At 37.1% G+C, this 19,966-nt stretch overlaps 1 protein-coding gene across 1 annotated transcript in view; it reads left to right on the forward strand.

Moving 5' to 3' along the window:
- PDE7B (phosphodiesterase 7B) overlaps positions 1-19,966 on the forward strand; it is a 343,874-nt gene that overhangs the window by 29,140 nt on the left and 294,768 nt on the right. The gene's annotated exons all lie outside the window — the stretch shown is intronic.

Below are 19,966 nucleotides of genomic sequence, written 5' to 3' on the forward strand. Positions count from 1 at the left end.
AAGTTGTCTGGATGCTTTCTTTGCAATCAAGATAATACTAGAGCTCAGTAAGTGAGGAAAGAAAATTATAAGTTTGCTAATAGTTCTAATCCCAGAGATGCTGAAGAGAAAACTCTTTTTCTTTTCTAGGCAAGAGTCATCTCAGGGTAAATCTCAGACCAGGTATGAAGTTCGCACATTTCTCTCAGTCAGTGTATTTCAGAGCCTGGGAAATACAGAGACCCCATGGGGAGGGTAGGCACCATTTGCTTTTATTGCATTTAAGTTTTTTGGAACATGCAAGTGCCCTATGCTGTTGTATGAGGCTACATGGGAGCATATCTTTGAGACTCAGAAACTGTTGGAATCACAATGATGTATAAAGAAACAGTAAGGGGCCAGGCACGGTGGCTCACAGCTGTAATCCCATCACTTTGGGAGGCTGAAGTGGGCGGATCACAAGGTCAAGAGATCGAGACCATCCTGGCCAACATGGCAAAATCCCGTCTCTACTAAAAATACAAAAAAAAAAAAAAAAAATAGCTGGGTGTGGTGGTGCATGCCTGTAGTCCCAGCTACTCAGGAGGCTGAGGCAGGAGAATCACTTGAACCTGGGAGGCAGACGTTGCAATGAGCTGAGATCGTGCCACTGCACTCCAGCCTGGTGACAGAGCAAGACTCTGTCTCAAAAAAAAAGAAATAGTAAGGTCAGTGTTGGAGTCTGCATGCTAATAGGCAGGTCCCGCAATATATTTTTTAATAACAAACACCTACTGCAATGACCTGTTAATGTAGAGCAGCTGTAAGCCTGAAGACTTAAGGGAATAGAAGCTAATAAACCCAGGCCAAAGTGTACTGTAGATAAGGCAACTTGTACAGACATCAGAATTGAATCCATTTGAAGTCACTAACATCTCTCTAGATTATTTCCTCTCTTTCTCTACATTACATGGGATTTTATTTTAGAAGAACTCAAAATACTCTAGAAGAAGGCAGTTGAGGTTACTGCATTGTATAACTGAAATAACTGTACAATTATATTTGTTACACATTATTTAAAAAAAAACAGACTTGAAAATGTGTTGGAAACAAACTTGAGAAATACCTGTCTACCTCAACCTCTTCCATCTTCCCACATGCGTGTTTAATTTGTAGACTGGGTTGAGGTGTAGTCTTTATTTAGTAGAGGTGAAATTCTTTTGCCATATTTTTCATAATATGTTTTGGCACCATTCTTCAATTTAGATTTAAATTTGCAAGAAGTTATTAGGCTTGGGATGAGAAGGAAGGCTGGCAGGAGCAGCTGGCCTGATTTATCTAAGGGAATTACTCAAAGCCTGTTAGGTATAAAATTTGTGGTGAATTTTCCTATTGGATATCCACAGCCCACCAAATTCTCATTTATTACCATGTGGTGTGACCCCCGCTGAGAACAAAGACTTCGATTAAATTATTTTCTGTTTCCCTGAGTTACTGACAGCGCTAAAATATACTATGAACCTCATGTAAAAAAATAAAAAAGTCTTCAACTAAGTAAAAATTATTTCCAACTTTCTCTCCCTCTGTGTTTTTCCTGCTTCCTGGCTCTCCCCTTTGTTGTTTCCCTTCAATATCAAATCATATTCCACACTGTTTTTCTCAGTTTGAACATTCTCACTTTCTCCCTTTCCATTCATCAATCTTTCTGCCACCTTCCCCTTAAGTATTTCCTCAATTTAAACCTTATTCAATAAATACATACACTTCACAGACTGAACAGATGGATTACAGGACTTTTTCCCTTGAGATTTCCATGTATAGCAATTTTCACTTCTCAAAGAAAATAAAGGTGATGATGATAGTGTCTATGCAGTTTTTTAAAGTAATTTTTGTGCTGTGTGAGCTCTGCAACTTCAGAAGGCAGGCTCCTTACCACACTTGACTTGTAATTTCTATTTTGTTAACTATATCTGTTATGCTGAGAATAACAGATTGTCTTCCCCTATTTGAACACTTTCAATGACCAGTGGAGACCTGAATATTTCACTAGATGGCCGGTAGTTTTATGGTTCCCATTATTATAAAGTTTTCTATTACAAAGAGCTGAAATCCATTTCTGTTTTTCACCATTGGTACAAAAGAGAACAAATATAATCTCTTTTTTCATAAGGTAGACATTGAAACATCAAAACACAAATCTCCTCTTTTTCAGACTACATATCCTCAATTACTCCAGGCATTCTTCAGGTATCAGGGTGTCCAGGTGCCTTGAGTTCATGGTTTCTTTTTACTAATACACTCCATTTGGTCAAGTTTTCTCTTTAAATCTTGTCACTGATCTTGAGGAATGGCTTAGTCATACACAATTTATGTCCACCACTAAAGTACTAATGTGTATTCTATATATGGAAAATCCCCCTAAAGCCTGTTAAACATGCGGCTCAATTGGACATACACTAGGTGTCCTAACAGCTCTGTTTAACAAGGTGACACTGAGCCCTCATGAGAAGGCCTTCAAGCCTGCCCAGCTCACATTTGCTTATGTTTTCTGCTGCTTAAATAATAACAATTCAGCAAAGTTAAGTGAGGACTGTCTCTCAATGTCTAATATTTATTAACGAGCTATGTTAATTCTCCTAGGCCATCAAGTCCTAGGAAAAGAAAGTAAATTTCTATGAAAAGTAATTTCTAAGTGTGTCTGCAAAATCCGATGATGTTTATTGCTTAAAATATGAGTCTGCAATAGACGGTGCTTTAGTCAACAAGACAATTACAGTAAATAAATGTTGTCAATGAGATCAACAAGAAACCTGCTTTATTCAAAGAACTTTCATCAAGTGCTCACATGTGGCTGGCACTGAACTAGGCTGTGTCCTCTGTCTTTGGTCTACACTCTTTGGGCTTTCAATTTGGGTCAAAATAAAGAGAGACCTCATATTTCCAGGTCACTGAATGTCCTGCACTGACATCTAAAGCATTTGTTTCAGGGCCTCCCTTACCATGCCGAAGCTCTTTCCTGCTGGGGTGCCTCACTCTGATGTACTCAGATCACCAGTGAAAGGAGCTGGCTTCTATTAATTATCAGGTTCTGCCCAGCCTTGCTGGGTTAAATGGACATGACTAAATTTGCATGGTTGATTTCCCCATCGGCAAAGTCATCTGGGTTTCAGCTTTGTTTTGCGTTTGGTAGGAAGGACTCATTTAATACACTGAATATGACTATATTTTATAAATGTTTCATGTAAAATAATCTCTGAAGCTTAGTATGTATAAATAAATTCCTGCCATTTGAATTATAGCAGCTCATATCCCACACATCTGCAGAGTTTGCTTGCCAGTACTGTCCATGTGGGATAAATAAATATCGCTATATATTTAATGGGTCTATGTTAGCTTCATATTTTGCTTAAATAATGGGTGAAATTAAATATTCCAAATTCATTTTTTTAAAAGTAGATTCTACTAGTAACCACTTAGTGTGTATTGACTTGTCAGAATTTTCAGAATTTAAAGCATGCTCCAGTGGCGCAATCAGCTAGTGTGCAGTACTTGGTATCACAATGTGCAAGGTATGTAGGTTCTTTCTTCTAGTCATCACATATGATCATTACAATTCTATTTTGTGCTCTTTTCAACCAGTCTTTCCGGCAGAATTTTCAGAATTTTCCTGATTCGATATCACAGAAGTCCTTTCTATGGCTTTTTGACTTCATGTCCTTGAAATCTCTATCCTGGTCCCAGTACTTTCTTAAGGTCACTAGCATCCTGTACACCAAATCCCATAACACTTGCTGGTCTTATTCTCTATTGACTATGGCATTTAATAGCATTGACAGTCAGTAGTATTTATAGAACTCTCTTCTCTTGTTCTTGGGGACACCTATATTTCTAATTTTATTGATTAGTCAATAGATATTTATTGAACACTGGGATTGTATCATGTGTATCTTTCTTCTTGTCTCCTTCCACTGCTCTTTTCGTGATCCCTGAACTCAAATCCAGTCTTTGTCTTTCACTGTTTTTCTCGAAGCTGTCTGCCTATGAGTCAAATTAGTAAAATTACAGGAATTTTGAGTTAGAAGGGACTATAGTGACCAGTTAACTTAGTTAGCATTCTACAGATGAGGATATTACACCCATTAAATTAAACGTCTGCTCTAAGATCTCACAGCATGTCAGCGGCAGAGCCCACATCAACTCATGGAAAAGCCAGGGGGATTTCCATGCCGTCACTTAACTTGTGTAGAACCTGATTCAGGGTCTTCTGAAGCCCTGATCCAACCCTCCACTCTCCTGGTTTTCTAGTTCTGCCATCATATTTCTATTCTTCTCTATTTCAGAGTCTAGATTTTAGTAATATTTGATATCTCTCAATTTCTCACTTCCCCCTACTCTTAGAGCCAAATATTCATGATGTTTCATAAAGCCTGTTATCATGATGCCTCATAAAGCCTGTCATCATGATGCCTTGAAAATGTGGGGAGGGTTTTGTTGTTTGTTTGTTTGTTTTTTGTTGTTGCTTGTTTGTTGTTTTTTTTTTTTTTTATCTCACTGCCACTACCGTGGCCCAGGGCTGCATCTGCATAATGGTGTGCACCTTTCCAGTGATCTCTCGGGCATCATCAGTCCATTCTACACTCAAATGTTTGAAATACCACTCTTCCCACATCAACATGTCAGAAAACCAGTGCTGATCTCCATTTATAAACAGTTCTCTTTAAATCTTTGTAAATGTTCAGAAAAATAAGAGAGTCCTTTGGAGAAGCAATGTCTATTGCAAATGAAAAATACACACATTCTGCTATTAAGTGTAACCCCATTCCAAGAAATTAAGCTTTGAAGAAGAGGAAAACAAACAAACAAGCAAAAGTAAAGAGGTTACTGAAAGAAAAGAACTAGCTAGCTGCTGGAAAGACTGGTTGAAAAGAGCACAAAATAGAATTGTAATGATCATATGTGATGACTAGAAGAAAGAACCTACATACCTTGCACATTGTGATAGCAAGCAATGCTGAGAAAACATGTGAGATGGAAAAGCAAAGCTGAGTCCAATCAGTTGTTTCTCATAACTGTTAAGACAAGATGCTCTGGCGGACTCCTGTTAATTCACAGGCATGCAGGCACATTTTGATCATGTGTAAAAACTTAGTCTATAATAGAGGATCCTTACTGCTGTGGAGATTTCTGTCAGCTTTGAGCAAAACGTACAACTTGACTCAATTTAGTTTGCTGCTAGTTTCTTGCCTAACCTAATATCAACCCCCGTCACATTTTCTGAAACATACAATGGCCTTGCTTCAATCAGGACAGTAAACAGCAGTAGTCAAATGGCAGCTGACTGAAGAGTGAAAAATACTAAGATACCGTTGAGTGCTTTTAAGGACACCATAAGGTGTCCTTATATTGTAGTTGTAATGAAACTTTTCCTGAGTGTAGGGTTGTGAATCAATAGCACCTTTATCATGCAGGTGTGCAAGAAGCCAAGGACCTCTGCAGGATGATAACAACATGTTACAGCAATATTTCCTTCCCTTTATCATCTTTTTCCTACCTTTTTTCCCTTAAGGAATATTTGCAAATTTTTTTATTTCAGTAGTTTTTTGGGTATAAGTGGTTTTTGGTTACATGGATAAGTTCTTTAGTAGTGATTTCTAAGATTTTAGTGCACCTGTCACCTGAGCAGCATACACTGTACTCAATATATAGTCTTTTATCCCTCACTCCCCTCTCAACCTACCCTGAGTCCCCAAAGTTCAAACATCACACTTATGTCTTTGTGTCCTCATAGCTTAGCTCGCACTTATAAGTGAGATTATATGATATTTGCTTTTCCATTCCTGAGCTACTTCACTTAGAATAGTGGCCTCCAGTTCCATCCAAGTTGCTGCAGAAGACATTATTTCATCCTTTATGGCCTAGTAGTATTCCATAGTGTATATATACTACATTTTCTTTATCCACTCATTGGTTGATGGGTACTTAGGTTGGTTCCATATGTTTGCAATTGCAAATTGTGCTGCTGTAAACATGCTCGTGCATGTGTCTTTTTTGTATAATGACTTCTTTTCCTTTGGGTAGATACCCAGTAGTGGGATCGTTGGATTGAATGGTAGTTCTACTTTGAGTTCTTTAAGGATCCTCCCTATTGTTTTCCATAGTGGTTGTACTAATTTACATTCCCACCAGCAGTATAAAAGTGTTCCCTTTTCACCACATCACACCAACATCTGTTGTTTTTTGTCTTTTTAATAATAGTCTTCTTGCAGGAGTAAGGTGGTATCTCATTGTGGTTTTCATTTGCATTTCCCTGATGATCAGTGATGATGAGCATTTTTTCATATGTTTGTTGGCTGTTCGTAAATCTGTTGAGAAATGCCTATTCATGTCCTTTGCCCACTTTTTGATGGGATTATTTGTTTTTCTTCTTGCTGATTTGTTTGAGTTCCTGTGGCTTCTGGATACTAGTCCTTTGTTGAATCCATAGTTAATATTTGCAAAGATTTGCTGAGCATTTATACTGTGCAAGACCTTTTGTTAGAGGCTGGAGATATAACAATGAGTCTTGCTTTCAGTACTTTATAATTGCTCTGCAGATTAACTGTACAGACTTAAAATAATTTTCCCTAACCTGTAACCCTACCAGAAAAATAATTAAGAGAATATGAAAGGATCTGCTTAAATCAGAAAAGTGAACGTATCAGTTAGACTAAGTAATGATGGTGAACCCAATATTGACAAAGATACTAAATATACACTTAAGTTTGATATTTATTTAAATGTTGTGTACTGTATTCTGCTTTCAAAATTATTAAGCAAAGATTTGTCCTTAGTAGTTACCCAGTATTTACAGAGAATATATTAATTAGGGGCTTTATTTTATTGAAAAGGCTTAATTGGCTATGCAAATCTACACCCTCTCAATTATCTACATTTGGAGCAAGTTTACTTAGTTGGTCTAAATAAGCATAATTTGTGGCAGTTACCTTGGTGTTGTCAAATCTAAACCTTTAAACAAAAAATAAATCTCATGTGACCTTTTCTGAATGAATTCTCATTGTTTCTAGCAGCCACCTCAATCTTTCAGCCCAATGTTTAGATTCCCCTGTAATCCAATCATGATTTACCTTTTGACAGTTTACTCCCTACTACTCCCCAATTCTTTGTTCTACTGCGCTTACTATTTCCCTGGACATATATTTGTGATTATTTACATCATCTTTCATCTTGCTATGTCATCTCTTAATTCTCTCCAACTATAGTACTATTGGCATTTAACAAATTCTTACTACCTGTGAACTACTGCATTGAGTGCTTTTGCCTATATTATCCCACGTAATTGCTATGATACCTCTATGACCTCAGTGAGTTTCGTTTTAAAGACTTTTATAAACTGAGGCTTACAGACACTGAGTAACCTCTTTACAAGAAGAGGACTACTTAGTAAAAAAGAGGACTAAGTAACCTGCTCAAGGTCACACAATTAGTGTGACCTTCAGTTAGTTATTGAACCCAGATCTAACGGCAAATCTAGGTACCTAACCATTATGTTCTGCTGCTTCCAAGGACTTAGAGCTATGCTACTGGATAATTATCTTTGGGACCTCAGATAAAGTAACTGACATTTCTGAGCTCCAATAAAGCTGAAATACACACGTGTGTGTGTGTGTGCATGTATAACACCTTAAATAGGTGTGCATGTATAACACCTTAGAATAGGTTCTTGTTATTTTATTTATACTTATTATAGGTATAAAATATAGGTATAAAATAAACATCACTGTTCTGGACTATTTAGAAATATAGATCCAAGAAGAACAACTAATGTCGACAGTAGGTGTACTAGTTTAAAAAATAAATATTATAAAAAATAAGTAGTATAAAAAATAAATATTATAGGTATAAAATAAACATCACTGTTCTGGACTATTTAGAAATATAGATCCAAGAAGAACAACTAATGTCAACAGTAGGTGTAGTAGTTTTGGTTTTCTGTGTTTATAAATATTTTTTCTAATTATATAATTCTGGTGTCCAGAAGATAAATGTGATTAATATAATCTACCACAAGCACATGCCCTTAAGGAAAACAAGCAGAAATAAAACAATAAGAAATACTATAAATACATCTAAAGTTGTGTGATTTCTATAAGTTACAAGTGAATTTTACTAAATATCTAGTCTAGATGATTTTCCCAGTGATTCATCCCTAACTTCAGTTTTGAGCAGAAATTCAGTTCTAAAGTTTGCCTAATAATATAAATGGAATCTTTTACTCAGCAGGTTGATCTTCCAGGGGTCATGCCCAGTTAATAGATTCTTGAGGACATCTTTAAATTCTCTTAAATTCTAAAGGAATCCTGAGGTTTGAATACAATGACCCACCAACAGATACCCCAGGCCTATGTTAGAGTATAGGTCTAATGTGACTCAGGCTCTCACTGAACCACCTTCAACCTGACCTGGGAAGACCCTGGCTCTCTAGATCCACCATGTCCAGCTGTCTCCAGCTGAACAATTTTTTTTTTTTTGACAGAGTCTTACTCCGTCACCCAGGCTTCTGACCTCAAGTGATCCGCCTGCCTTGGCCTCCCAAAGTGCTGGGATTACAGGTGTGAGCCACCGCACCCGAATGGTGCTACCAATTTTTTTTTTTTTTTTTTTTTTGAGATGGAGTCTCACTCTGTCATCCAGGAGTGCAATGACGCAATCTCGGCTCACTGTAACCTCCACCTCCTGGGTTCAAGTGATTCTCCTGCCTCAGCCTCCTGAGTAGTTGGGATTACAGGCGCCCACCACCAGGCCCAGCTAATTTTTGTATTTTTAGTAGAGACGGGGTTTTGCCTTGTTGGTCAGGCTGGTCTCGAACTCCTGACCTCAGGTTATCCGCCCACCTCAGCCTCCCAAAGTGCTGGGATTACAAACGTGAGCCACCGCACCCAGACGGTGCTACCATTTTTTTTTTTTTTTTTTTTTTTGAGATGGAGTCTCACTCTGTCACCCGGGAGTGCAAATGACGCGATCTCAGCTCACTGCAACCTCTGCCTCCTGGGTTCAAGCGATTCTCCTGCCTCAGACTCCTGAGTAGTTGGGATTACAGGCACCCACCACCACGCCCAGCTAATTTTTGTATTTTTAGTAGAGACGGGGTTTCACCATGTTGATCAGGCTGGTCTCGAACTCCTGACCTCAGGTTATCCGCCCACCTCAGCCTCCCAAAGTACTGGGATTACAGGCATGAGCCACCACACCCAGATGGTGCTACTTTTTATATCAGTCTCAGTGTGTGAATTGGGCAGGGACATGAGTGTACCAATTGTTTGATGTATATAATTATTTTCTACTTCGTATGATACATGATTCACAATAATTTACAAACTGATAAAACAATAACATTTTAAAAAATGAATTTCCATTATTAGAGATTTCTGAAGAAACATAATGTTGGGATATGGTGGACAAGCGAAGAATTTCCTTACAAAATTATTCTTTACTCTCTGATTGTTTTAACACCGTAAGTTTATCAGACAGGTTCTAGATATTTCCTATGGTACTTAGAGCCACATGCAGATTGTTTGTGCGTTCAAACTGGTCAAAGTTGCGGACCAGAGTGCTGCTATTGATTTGTTTCACTCCGGTGAATGTAAATCATTCATGTTTGGCAGCATTTGTCCTACTGGAGATAAAACATAAGGAATATGTGCACAGCTTCAAAGGTGCAGCTTGACTGTGATGGTAACCCAGCACGCAGTGGGTATGACTGGCATTTTTGAGAATACATCATAAACTCTCCAAGGAGTCTGCACCATCTTCCCTGAGATCATTATATATCCACCAAAATGAGGAGAAGGAGAAGAATGTGGCAAGAGATCAAAAGAGGCAGTCACTATAAACTCACCTATTTTGTTGATGCAAGGCAAGTTGCACTAAGTTTAGGAAAGCAAAAAGATACTCTTCGAGGTCCGGGGAGGAAATGCAGAAACTGCTAATGGGAAAACGAGCATGGTCCATATAGGACTCTGATATTAGAGTTGTTTTTTTTCTACCGAGGCTGCTCTACCCATGAGTATCCCCATCTTCAAGAAACTACTAAAAGTTGAAGTGTTTATTCACGTGTTATTTTCGAACAGTTAACTGTATAAAAGAAAGGCATATTTTCTTTTCCTGCATCCATAAGCCATGTGCCAAAAAAGCTCTTGTTTAACATGCTTCTTAGGATTAAAAGGGTTTCTGCTGCAAACAGGTCTGAATTACATACGCATCTTAAACATGCCTCAGCTTTAAAGGGACACATTCTTCAAGTGAGGCTGCATTTACAGGCGCAATAGATTTTTCCCTCGGCATAAGCCAAAGAGCAGAGACATACTTTAATATTTCTGACAAGATCTGAACTATAATATTGTTCTGTTTGGAAAATTAGGCTTCAAAGCAGAAGCCATACATTTATTTTCAAGATGAGAACCCAAAGAGTAACAAAAATGATTAGAAAAAGAATCTGAAAGAGTGAGACTCATTAAAATGAAAATCTTTGTGTTGATGACTGCATATAAAATCATAGATCATTAGGGCTAAAGGAAGAATGTATTTGCCAGATGTTGAAATGGCAAGATAGTTTCATCTCTCCCTACCATCTGTTAAGAATTCCATCCACAGGTCTCATTAATAATCCTTGGGAAAACAAGGCAACCTTCAGGAGCATTGGGAAAATTATGGATGCATTATAATGAAGTCAGAGCAAAACTGAGGTGAGAAATTCAAACACCTTCTAAACGCGGAGCTCCTAACCAGTGGTCCACGCCAGAATCATCTGAACACAGTGTTTCAAAATGTGCATTCTCAGGCTCCACTGCCAGCCATTTTCATTCATTTGGGTGTGGAATGAAACCTAGGCATATGAATTTTGAAAAAGCCTTCCAAGTGATTTTGATGATAATTCTGGTTAAGAAGAGAAAGCATGTTCTACCTTGTCATTATGTATCTACTACCTTTCCAGTAGATTGCAAACTCTTTTGAAAGGATTCTGTCATATTTACCTTGTGTCCTCTGCTGTCTGTAGCATAGCTGGACTGTAAGCTTGAGGAAGGAAGAGAGCATGCTAGTTTTGTTTATTATCATAATTACTCCTGCCCACCCCTCCCACTCCAGTCCACAGCTAGAAGAGCACATGGTCTATAGTTGGTACCCAAGAAATTGAATTAAAAAAATGAATACTAGGAATTTAATTATATCCATATGGATTTGAATTGATTTTCCTCTTTTCTGATATTATTGTTTACTATGTACCCAGTGAGTTCTCAAATGCTTATTGAGTGAACACACTGAATTTTGGAAGTTAAATATGAGTCACTTTCAGGGGCTTTTGAGTGGTATTTGTAGAAATAAGTCTCATGACTTTATATTCCTGCCCTCTTTCTTTGGGCTTCTATGAAATATATCTTTGGCTTATCCTAGACTTGCTGAGAGCAGCTTAATTATATCGGCTTTCAGAAACGTGAGAATCAACTAATCCAGACTAACAAAACAAGCAGATACAGTTGATCCTGTGACTTCAAGTACCTTCCCAAGTGGCATTATTAATAAATCTTGACTCACAGTACTAGCATAATGCATTATTTTTATAGCTAATGCATCAAAAAGTTATTTGATCCATATGACCATATGATTTCTAAGGTCCTATAATCTGAGTTCTATTCTGAGGAGATATTTCCTATACTTTCTAGTGAAGCATATGAAAGGAAATGAAGCAGTTCTAGTCATTAAATAATTACTTCCATCAGTACATACATAGTATCGGGTAATAGGAATATATTATAATAGCTCACCTCTTCTATATTATTCAAATACCATTTGCTGATAACTGGAAATAAGAAAGAATGCTAAAATTGATTGACATCTAACATGAGTTGTTACTTATTATGGGTCAGCATCGAAGCTCATATATAGAAGAGACGATTTGAAATGTTCAGCTAGCCATCTTCATAGGAATTACAATAAGTTGAATATTTCTCAGTATCTTTAGTAAAGATGCCTATGCCTTATTTACAGTGTATTTGCAATGGACCAAGCTGAAGCTGTATAAATGAGACATATGCTTTGTTTCCATGTTCACTGTTGAACTTATGCTCCAGAAAGTCTTCCTTATTCTCTTCTACCCATAATCTTGCCTCTTTTTGAATCCACATGGCATTGATTTTAGAGCTCATTTGTGCACTTTTCTTGTTCTGTCTTCTTTTAGATTTCTACCAAATTGTAAATACCTATAGGGATAGGAGCCTCTTTTTTTTAATTATACTTTAAGTTCTAGGGTACATGTGCACAACGTGCAGGTTTGTTACATATGTATACATGTGCCATGTTGGTGTGCTGCACCCATTAACTCGTCATTTAACATTAGGTATATTTCCTAATGCTGTCCCTCCCCCCTCCCCCCACCCCACAACAGGCCCCAGTGTGTGATGTTCCCCTTCCTGTGTCCATGTGTTCTCATTGTTCGATTCCCACCTATGAATGAGAACATGCGGTGTTTGTTTTTTGTTCCTTGAGATAGTTTGCTGAGAATGATGGTTTCCAGCTTCATCCATGTCCCTACAAAGGACATGAACTCATCATTTTTTATGGCTGCATAGTATTCCATGGTGTATATGTGCCACATTTTCTTAATCCAGTCTATCATTGTTGGACACTTGGGTTGGTTCCAAGTCTTTGCTATTGTGAATAGCAGGTGCTGGAGAGGATGTGGAGAAATAGGAACACTTTTACACTGTTGGTGGGACTGTAAACTAGTTCAACCATTGTGGAAGTCAGTGTGGTGATTCCTCAGGGATCTAGAACTAGAAATACCATTTGACCCAGCCATCCCATTACTGGGTATATACCCAAAGGACTATAAATCATGCTGCTATAAAGGAGCCTTTCTTAATCATCCTGTGTCTCCTGCTATGATAAGCACATAGCAGGTATCTAATTGTAGACTCTCTGAATTGATAATCACTTATATAGAAATTAATAATGACAATATCTTCTTAATCCCAAGAATAATTACACCATCGTCATTGAAGTGAAAAGAGAACATTTAATTTCAAGTTTTGAAGTCTTTTAAAAATAGATATTATAAGCTGATTTAAAGTAGATCTTTTAACCTGTCACCAAAAGCATTTATTCCAGTTAAAAACTTGATCCGTTTATATATTCATGCATAATTTATATTCCACCCACTTCCAAAAATTAATTGAATAGGCCACTAAGGTGATAGGTGATGCCAGTTAAGGAAATTACTAAAATATCAGTAACAAAACCTACCATAAAAGTTTTATTCCCAAAATCATCTTGGTATTTTTAAATGTTTCTAGGTTAAAATGTTAACCACATCTATATGCTTTATTTCTGTACCAAATAGAGTTTGGGAAGGCTTATTTATTAGACGTTTTAAACTAGTTCCTAGTTTATTATGTGATTCTATCTCAAACATAGCATTTTATATTATTTTTCTTTTAATTGACACTGTTTTGTAAATGTTAAGAACTATAGAGTGAATTTAAATGTATATTTAAAAACCTACGTGAAAGATACTTTAACTCCCGCCTTCAAGTGAATTCAAATAAGGAGAATTCCAAGGAGTGGGGAAATTAGCCAAACACTTTTCCGTCTCAGGAAAGCCATAATAACAAGAATTATAACCTGTTCCTATTTTTCTTAATAGGTGATTTGGGGTAAGGACTCCAAGGAAACAAGAGCGTTCTGTTCTAAGACAGAAACATGAGGCAAATGGAGACAAAAGGAGAGAGGAGACCCCAAGGACAATAGCCTCCCACATTCTCTCCATCCAAGGCACACATGCCAAATTGCATTATTCCAATGAGCTCTGCACAATTAACCTGTCCAAAGGGGTTGCGTGGCTGATGTTTAACTTTCCACCCAGCTACGTTGAAATGTACAGTACATCTTGAACATGTTATTTAAATTGAAAATGAAACATCTGGACACATCAGTACGAGACGGGTCCCACTAAATATGGGAACATGTTTACCCAGGTGGGTTCAATCATAATTTCTACTCCGTGAAATAAAATTTCAATCTCGCCTGCAAAAACTAAAAATTAATTTTAGAGTTTTCTTTAAGGAAATTTTTCTCACAGAAAGAATCATATTTCAATTTTAAATATTGGATAATTTGATCAAATGCCTTTATATTAAATGTGCTAAAAAGGGTTTAAGATAGGATTACAATTAGAATTTATTAATAATAAATTTCTATAAATAGAGTTATATATAAGCAGTCAAATCAGAGAAGGCAGGCAAATCCTGTTTGTCCAATAAAGATAATCATGTGATGAAATAAAAAAAAAAGGAGTTAGATACAACTTTTTTGAGATGTACATTGCCCATTGGCTTTTAGAAGGCACATGTAACAAAAGAACTTTGTCATTCATAAAGAAATCCATAAGTAATTGGGCATCCACGAATAATGATAGTGAGCGGCAAAAGTTAAGGACTTCATTTTCAAAGTCAATGTTGTTTATCAAGGCCTGGAAAATAAACCCCTGTTTATTTCTAACACGCCAAATGAAATCACTGCCAAGTGTGAGATACTGTGATAACCTGGAACGGGGAGAGAAAGATCTGCTTGTAGACTGGAAAGAGACCTGGTGCCCTGACCTCTCTCTGATAGCTGCCAACATTGCCGGGTCTACGAGTAATTCAGTAAACTAGTACGCTCCTTCTCAACATCCCCACCAAAAAAGTCCTTTTTCCAATGTAAGTTCAGTGCTGGTCGGCCTGTAGGAGTTTCAGCAAAGATGAGAATTAAATGTGCTTGCAGGCAAAAACATTTCAGAAATATTGGCTAAAAAGTAGACTCATTGCAACCTGGGAATAGAAATAAGGTCTCATGAAAACACTTAAAAGGACCAAGCAGAGCTTTCTACTTGTAAATAAAGGCTTCTGTTGTGTAGTACAGACAGGGCTTGCCAAGCCTTTAGCTTGAGTGTTCTTGGAGGGGCAAAGGGAAAAAAGGCAGAAAGGGAAAAGAATACAAGGAGGATTTGGGCAATAAAAGAGACAGCCTTGTATTTGTACTTCCTCCTCCACCACCACTGATTCCATCACACTCCCTAGCTCACCCTAGGCTCTCCTGAAATCTGCCCCAAGGGTTCCTTCTTCTTTAGTTGTACCAATCTTCGTATTTTCTGTGAATGGTGTCTTGAGAATGCCTCACAATTTTCTATACATCCTTCTCTGCATTTGGTATATTTTGTGTGACTAGCTGCAAACTCAATGCTATTTACAAGAAGTTTAACTGTCAAACACATAGAGGACAATTCTGGAGAGGTTGAGCCTAGAACATGCCAAACAACAGGTATATGAAAACGCGGGGAGAGAACAGCCTATTCTCCTTGTGCTGATGAACTCAATCTAGTGAAAAGCACAAGTAGCAAGGTGGATTAGGGCTGGAGGTAGAGCTAACATGTATGAGCCTTGGTTCCTATGAACTTGTTCATACACGAACAGGTTGAGGACTGGGTCTCTGCCAGAAAAGAAAAGAACCTCCCTTGGTTCCTAAGATAACTACTCCAACCCATAGTTGCCTAGGATTGGCCTGATCAATGCCTTCCTAAGCACTCTGTAACACCTCATAACTTTAGCACTAACACCCACGGCCTTGATCTATTTTTCTGCACCCGTTCCTATCTGACCAGGCTAATCTGCTTCAAAACTTTGCTACCATTTATTGGGTAGCCACTGTATGCCTGCTCATGTGTTAGGTGTTTTACATATATTTGCTGTGATCCTTGCAACTTATATTGTTGCAACTGTAAAGTGTATGTTACTGTCCCCATTTTACAGATGAAAAAAAGGAGACGCAGAGAGGTTAAAAAAATTAGCCTAAGCATGCAAAAAATGATGGTATAGCTGAGAATCAAACCAAATCAGTCTGGCTCCCAAGTCAATGTTCAACGCACCAAACCTTAGACTACCCAACAGATCTTCAGTATGCTTTCCAAAGCCTTCCACGATTCCACTGCTCCTTCCTTCCAGCTCCTTCCTTCCAGCTCCATCTCTGACCCTCCTTGTGGAGGCAATAGTTAAATACTTGTTGTCCACCATCCCCCATCTCTTCAGTGTGTTTATTTATGCTCTTTCCTCTGCCTGAAATACCACTCTCCAATCAAGCTTAGCACCTCCTCCTCTTTCCAGATGTGGTTTCCTCAAGAAAGACTCTCTGATACCTCTCTCATACACAAGCACCCTAAGCCATCTTCATCAGATCACTTTCAGTAGTCCACTGCCACAATGATCAACTTTAGGTGTGTTCCCACCTACACAGTAGCCTTCCAAGGTAAGAAACCTGTCTTTGTTAACTTTCACATCTCCAAAACCAGGCACAATGCTTGGCATAAGCACAAACTCTGAGGGTGCTTGTTGAATGGAATTCATCTGAAACTTCAGAAGTGCCTTCCCATTGTGTCAGGGTGTGTGTGTGTGTGTGTGTGTGTGGGTATGTGTGTAGGCGGAGGAAGGAGGGACAGTGTGTGTTTAATCTTCTCAACTAACTTTCACATTTTTTTGAGAGTAGGGTCAATGTCTTCTACTTTCATTAGTGTGCTTGTCTTTCAAAGCTCCTTGCCTACTGCAGACAGCAGAGTGAATGGCCCTATTTTCATGTCATGTTAAAGACACCCATGAAGGTGAACTGAACTATACAGAAGAGAAAGGTAGCCAGGGAGCTGATAACAACAGAGAAAAATGAGAATTTACTCAGCAGGTGGATCTCACCAACTTGCAGAAGGCTTTAAGATTCTAACAAAATTAAACAATATAAGGCTAGACAATTAAGAATAAATATTGAATGGAGACAGCCTAAAAAGAAAAGTAGGTATTAATAGGCATTTGAAATGAACCACTTACTTCAATTTAGGCACTAAATTTAGTAATGCTTCCTGACAAATAAAACAAAGTCAGAAGCCATTCAGTACCATGACTTACCAGTATTCGTTCACAGTGGTTTAAACATGTAAGGGCTCATTCCTCTCATGGGGATCTAAAGCCAGTGGCCACCAGCCCTGATTCGGTAGCTGGATCATGTCAGGGCCAGCATCTCTGCAAGTCTGTTGGTCTTTTCCTTGAGCTTCTTGCGCTGCAAGACAGCTGCTGCTGTTCCAGACATCACATCCAGGTTTAAGGCATGAAGAAGGGAAGGAGGCTTAATAAACCATGTCTGATCCTTATATTAGGAAAAGCAAAAGCCTTTATAGACCACTTCTGATGTTTTACTGATTCGAACTATGTCACATGGTCACTCATAGCTGGAAGAGGGTTTTAAAAACATGGCTTACTTGCAGCTAGGCACATTGCTGCCCAGATCAAAACTGGCATTTTGTTCGCAAGGAGGAAGAAAGTAATATGTACTAGATTAAAAACTACACTAATTGCAGATTGTAGTTTTCATTGTCTGCTAAAAGACTTCATGTAAACCCCAGAAGAAATTTATTACACACTTTAATAACTAGTTGATGAAGTAATAAATACATGTTTGGTCACCTAACTGAATTCTTTGGAAAAAACACAAACTTTTTCTTTATTTTTTATAAAAGTACCTGTGAAAATTTTGGAAAATAAATTATAAAATATAAGAAAATAGTGACCTGTAATCATGTCCCCCAGAGACAGAATATTTTGTTTGAATGAAGAATGCAGTTATATATGTCATTATAGAATATTTAGAAATTACTCAGCACATATAATTAATATCTCATAATTCTACCACCCATAGAACATAGAGCAATTTTGGTCATTTTGAAAAGAGAAAATAACTTTTCACAAAATTTTAAATTATATACTTTCTTTAAAAAATACAGACATTGAACCAAAATTTTCTATAAAGCGTAAATAGCATGGCCATAAATTTGTGTACAAAATTTAATCTGTCTCCTATCATTGGACATCTAAGTTGCATGCATTATGAAGAACCCTAGCATTAACATTATTATAGATAAATTTAGGGACAAATTATTATTCTTTCCTAGGGAATAAATGCTAGAAGTAAAACTCTAGTGGCAAATGTATTAAACCTTTTCAAGATTTTTGATACATGTTACCAAATTACATATGATATGGTTTGGCTGTGTCCCCACCCAAATCTCACCTTGAATTGTAATAATCCCCATGTGTTGAGGGGGGCGCCAGGTGGAGATAATTGAATCATGGGGGTGGATTCCCCCATGCTGTTCTCATGGTAGTGAATAAGTCTCCTGAGATCTGGTGGTTTTATAAATGGGAGTTCCCCTGCACAGTTCTCTCTCCTGCCATCATGTAAGATGTGACTTTGCTCCTCATTCACCTTCTGCCATGATTGTGAGGCCTCCCCAGCTATGTGGAACTGTGAGTCAATTAAACCTCTTTCCTTTATAAATTACCCAGTCTCAGGTAAGTCTTTATTAGCAGCATGAGAACAGACTAATACATCATGTCAGAAGAGTTCTACAACGTTCATCTTAATAATAATAAGACGGCCATTTTTCCTGAAACCTGGGTAATGTCTATACATATGTATCTGTGTGTATTTATGTATACTTACATGTATCTTATCCAATGGCAAGGTTATATATGTCTATATATAGATTATTATGTATATATAATATAGATATAGATATATATGAGATCTATATGTAAACTTGCAGTTAGATAAGTTAAAAACTGGCATTAAATAATTTTGCTTAAATTAGTTTTTCTGTGATTACTTGTATGAGTAAACATGTTCTAAAGTGGCTTATTAAAAATGTGTGTCTTTTTCCATATTGCCTGTTTATATACTCGTCTGTTTTCCATTGAGATAGTTATATTTATTTGTATGTGTAGCTTCCTATATAAATAGTAATTCTTATTTATGAAAGAAGTATACAAATATAATAATTTATTTTTGGATTTCTAATTTTGTTTATGGTAGTCTTGGATTTCTCTAATTTTAAATATAGATCTTTTTGGAAGCTTTTAAAGAAACACCCATGGGTAGTATATTTTCAAAGTCATTGCACATATGATAAAATCTTTCTATTGTCTTCACATATGCCATGGACGGCAACTGTCTGGATATATGATTTTTTGTTAACATCCTTTAATGTCAAAATTCTAGTTACTTCCTTATATAACTTCTGGAATTCTGTGTTGTATACAATTCTTTGTTAACACCCTTTTAAACTTCAAATTCTAGTTATTTCTCTATCTGACCTCAAGAAATTAATGTTGTAAACAAACTGTCTAAAGTTAGTCTGACATGGTTCCTTTGTAGCTAACTTTTCCCCCGTGTGTTCTGGTTTTTTTAAAAAAACATTATCTTTTAAAAAGGGAAAACCCCTGAGAGGTAGTTTGTTAGCATGAAGTCTTCTCTTTTTTATTAAAATTTAATATCTCGGGGGCACAGTGAGCATGTTTAACCTTAGCATGTGAATCTTTTTAGTGCAAAAAATATTTCTTTAGCTATGTCTTGGTCATTGCTCCTTAAATAGGTGTACTTCTTTAGGAATACTGGTAAACTTTAAGTGGGTTTTTTATATGTTCTTTTATATCTGCTATATTTTACATCCTTGTCCTCAACTCTTTGTCCTTTTTAGCTACATTCCTAAAGATTTCCCAGTGTTTTCTCTAGGTCTTTGATCCAGTTTTCTATAGTATTAATTCTGACCTTCATTATTTCCAATGATAATTCAGATAAGTCTATTGCACTTACAGTTTTCTTTCAATTCTACCCTATTTTACCCAATTCTTGCTTGGTTTTCATCCTGATTTTTTTTTTCCATTTCTTTCACGTCTTTCTGCTCCTGTGTCATGAAAGGCATGTCTACTTGCTGCCTATTTCAGGAGCCAAATATTAAATATCTTCTTTTAGCCATGACAGTAATTTATTTTCCTATGTGTCCTTAGGATAATTTCCTTATTCTGTATTTTTTTTTCAAAATTCTCACATATAGGATAGACTGACATACTCAGTATTTCCAATTAACAGGATATGTGATTGG

Source organism: Homo sapiens, chromosome 6, assembly GCF_000001405.40.
Source record: "Homo sapiens chromosome 6, GRCh38.p14 Primary Assembly".
NCBI classification, from domain to species: domain Eukaryota; kingdom Metazoa; phylum Chordata; class Mammalia; order Primates; family Hominidae; genus Homo; species Homo sapiens.